Source organism: Homo sapiens, chromosome 8 (assembly GCF_000001405.40).
Source record: "Homo sapiens chromosome 8, GRCh38.p14 Primary Assembly".
Taxonomy (NCBI): Eukaryota; Metazoa; Chordata; class Mammalia; order Primates; family Hominidae; genus Homo; species Homo sapiens.
In genome coordinates this window covers 89,411,348-89,415,562 of record NC_000008.11, presented here as the reverse complement: position 1 = coordinate 89,415,562, position 4,215 = coordinate 89,411,348, and the positions used below count along the sequence as shown (strand labels likewise).

The 4,215-nt window shown below is 47.2% G+C and overlaps 1 pseudogene; it reads left to right on the top strand.

The window, feature by feature from the left end:
* Positions 419-3,053, top strand: KRT8P4 (keratin 8 pseudogene 4; annotated as a pseudogene).

Genomic DNA, 4,215 nt, shown 5'->3' with positions numbered 1-4,215 from the left:
ATTTTGTTTATCCTGCTTTTGGGAAAATCAGAGGTAGCTTGACATTTGCATTGCTAATAAATGGATTTAACATTGCATTGGTACTTCATGTGGTTCAGATTGGCAACTTGCATTTGAACAGGGCCATCTGGTCAGTGCCGTTAGGAATACCTATTTTCAGAGTCATATTTTAACATAAGGGATATATGCATATGATGTCTTTGTGCTCACTATAGAATTTTCTTCTCCATTTTAAGTTCTTATGTTACCAGGTCTACAGGACACTGTATTTGCATTTTGCATCGCTGGGTTAGGCATTCTGTAACAGTAGGCAGCTAGTCAGACATGAGCAGGGCAGGAGAGGCCCCCCCACCACAAAACCAGGAATGTCAGGCGACCATCAGGTGGTTGATAACTCTCTCTCTAAGATGATAATTGTACCTAGAAGCAGATTCTGCACTCCTCAAATTTGCCCTTGGTTTGGCCTGCCTGCCTCCACTCTTGCCTTCACCATGTCCATCAGGGTGACCCAGAAGTCCTACAAGGTGTCCATCTCTGGTCCCCAGGTTTTCAGCAGCTACTCCTACATGTGTGGGCCTGGAACAACTCCTTGAACTTCTCCTGAATGGGTAGTAGCAGCAGCTTCTAGGGTGGGCAGGGAACTGGCATGGGTCTGGGTGGAGACTATGGTGGGGCCAGTGATATGGGGGGTATCATAGCCATCATGGTGAACCAGAGCCTACTGAGCCCCCTTAAGCCAAAGGTGGACTCCAACATCCAGGTCACATACACCCAGGAGAAGGGGCAGATCAACACCCTCAACAAGTTTACCTCCTTCATCGACAAGGTATACTGCTGGAGCAGCAGCAGAAGATGCTGAAGACCAGTGGAGCCTCCTGTAGCAGCAGAAGACAGCCCAGAGCAACATGGACAACATGCTTGAGAGCTACATCAACAACCTTTGGAGGCAGTGGGACACTCTGGGCCAGGAGAAGCTGAAGCTGGAGACAGAGCTTGGCAACATGCAGGGGCTGCTGAAGGACTTGAATAATAAGTACGAGGGTGACATCAGTAAACATACAGAGGTTTAGAATGAATTTGTCCTCATCAAGAAGGATGTGGAATGAAACTTGCATAAACAAGGTAGAGCTAGAATCTCTCCTGGAAGGGCTGACTGATGAGATCAAGTTTCTCAGGCAGGCAGATGTATAAAGAGGTTTTCTGTGAGCTGCATTCCCAGATCTCATACACATCTGTGGTCCTGTCTATGGACAACAGCCACTCCCTGGAAATGGACAGCATCATTGCTGAGGTCAAGACCCAGTATGAGGAGATTGCCAACCATAGCCTGGCCAAGGCTGAGCGCATGTACCAGATCAAGCATGAGGAGCTGCAGATGCTGGCTGAGAAGCATGGGGATGAGCTGTGTCACACAAAGATGGACATCGCTGAGATGAGCTGTAACATTGTTAGTGGCAGGAGGCAGACAAATCCTAGGAATACAGGGGCTGGTCCCTGGTGAAACCCAAGTTTCAAGCTGAACACAGTTTAAAGCCTAGCTACAAGTCCCTGGAAAGTCCACAGACCAGATTGAGAACCTTTTCCCATTTGGCATGCTTTCCTCTGTTTGATCCCTACCTTTCATCTATTTTACATATAGCTACTCTTCCCTAATTGTTTTTTACACTATTGTACCCACCTTTGACTGTAGCTTTTGTTTTAGCATTTTTTGCACACTCACAAACCAATCAGCATGCACTCCCCCATTCTGAGCTCATAAAAGCTCTGGACCCAGCCCTACGGGGAGACTGACCACCTGACTTCTGGTGGGAGACCACCCTGCATACCCTCTCCACTAAGAGCTGTTTCGTCACTTAATAAAACTCTTCTCCACAGTCCTCACCTTTCAATTTTCAGCATAACCTCATTCTTTATGGATGTGGGACAAGAACTTGGGACTCACTGAATGTGCATAGAAAGAAGGCTGTAACACTGTGACCCTTTGCCCTCTGCTGGCGGAGGGCAGCCATCCCACACAATGGGAAACAGCGACGGGTTTAAGCCAGTTCCAGAGCCATGGGAGGAAGCTATTAGCATGCTGTAACACCCCATCTAGAGTTTTGGGATCACAGGCACGCCGGTTTGGGTGCCACTGCATTCCCCTCACCTGGACACCAGAGTCCACCATAGGAGTTGTTTGTGACACACCTGGTCCAGCTGCAAGTCCTGCTTGGAGCAGCTGGCCAGACCCTGCATTCTTGCTCATACACCCCCTCCTGCCAGGGGCTGAGTGCACAGTCTCAGTGGCCATGGGATCCACGCCAGCATGCAAGCCAGGCATGGCCTGGTTGGCTGAGTAGACAGGGTGTCTGTCTCCTGTGGTGAGCCCATGCCTGAACAGGGGCATCACCAGCCAGAGGTCTCTGATTGGCAAAGTGGCCGAGAAAAATCCTGTATCAACATCAGTGGGCTCCAGGCTGAGACTGAGGGCCTCAAAGGCCAGGGGGCTTCCCTGGAAGCTGTCGTCATGGAGGCCAAGCAGCATGGGGAGCTGGCTGTTAAGGCCACCAAGCTGTTGGAGCTGGAGGCCATCCTGCAGTGAGCCAAGCAGGACATGGCACACAGCTGCATGAATACCAGGGGCTGATGAATGTCATGCTGGCCCTGGACATTGAGATCGCCACCTACAGGAAGCTGCTGGAGGGAGAGGAGAGCCAGCTGGAGTCTGGGATGCAGAACATGAGTATCCATACGAAGATCACCAGTGTCTGCTCAGGTAGGCTGAACTTGGTCTACAGAGGCCTCACAAGCCCTGGCCTTAGCTATGGCCTGGGCTCCAGCTTTGGCTCTGGCACAGGCTCCTGCTTCTTCAGGAGTACCAGCTCCTCTAGGGCTGTGGTTGTGAAGAAGATTGAGACCCACGGTGGGAAACTGGCTCTGAGTCGTCTGATCTCCTGCCCAAGAGAATGGCCATGGCAGCCCTTCCCAGCCTACCCCATCCTGTGGCTGCCCCACAGCCTGTGGCAGAGGCTCTTGTTCAGCGGAGCACAGGGAACAGGAGACCCAACTGAGGCAGACACTGGCGGTCCCTCCCACCATGGGTGGGTTGAGGGCTAAGGTCTTCACTGGGCTCAGCCCTAGCCTTCGGCCTACCCATCAGGGGAGTTCGCTGCCTGGGGTACCCCCTGCCCATGCCTCCATCTATGAAACAATTTTTTCTTCCAAATGAAGCCTCAGCTAGCTCTGCCAAAAATGCGATACAATACAATACAATACAATACAATACAATACAATACAATACAATACAATACAATACAATACAATACAATACAATACAATAAAATACAATACGTCTCAGCCAGTGCCAGGGAAAGGCAGTCTCCTGATAGATAATAACACCTGAAATGTTTTCAGCAGCTTCCTAATAAGATCTCAGGAGTTGAACAAGTGGGCTCAAGCATGGTCACTAAAAGACAAAATAGTGGAGTTTAACTGGCATGTGACCTTCTAGGAACATTCAACTGGTAGGGAAAGAATGCCTCTTGTGAGAATGCATACAACTCCAGTAAACACACTGTATATTAATTTATTAGCTATTTTCTGTGGCTTTAGGCTTTCCCTTTTCCATCATCATGCAAATCTATGCTTCCCAATAATCTTTACTTCATGCCCCATGTAGAAAATAAACTTGCAAAGCACACTGGGATAAACAAAGACGTCTGTTCATATTTGAAGGCCTCTTGTCTGGAAGGCTTTATTCTTTCTGGGGACCGAGGGGAAATATCTATTTCAAAGCAATTGAAACCCTTGCAGGCAAAATAACATGCTGCTGTATATTGATTTGGGAAGCTTTGCTATGAACTAACACCAAGTTAATTAATTACATTTCCACTGTATACATTTTTAAATCCTACATTGAATTCTCATCGCTAAAAGAATAGAGTTCAGAGTTACCGTTTTACTATTTTCTAATTTTATTTTATTTTTAAAATTGTCACATAATAATTCTACACATTTATGGGGTATGTAATAATGTTTCAATACATATAATGTATAGTGATCAGATCAGGCTAATTAAGATATCCATTATCTCACGCATTTAGCATTTCTTTGTGATGGGAACATTTCATATCCTCCCAGCTATTTGAAACTATATGTTATTAACTATAGTCATCCTAGAGTGCTATAAAACACTAGAACTTATTCATCCTATCTGACTGTAATTTTGTATTATTT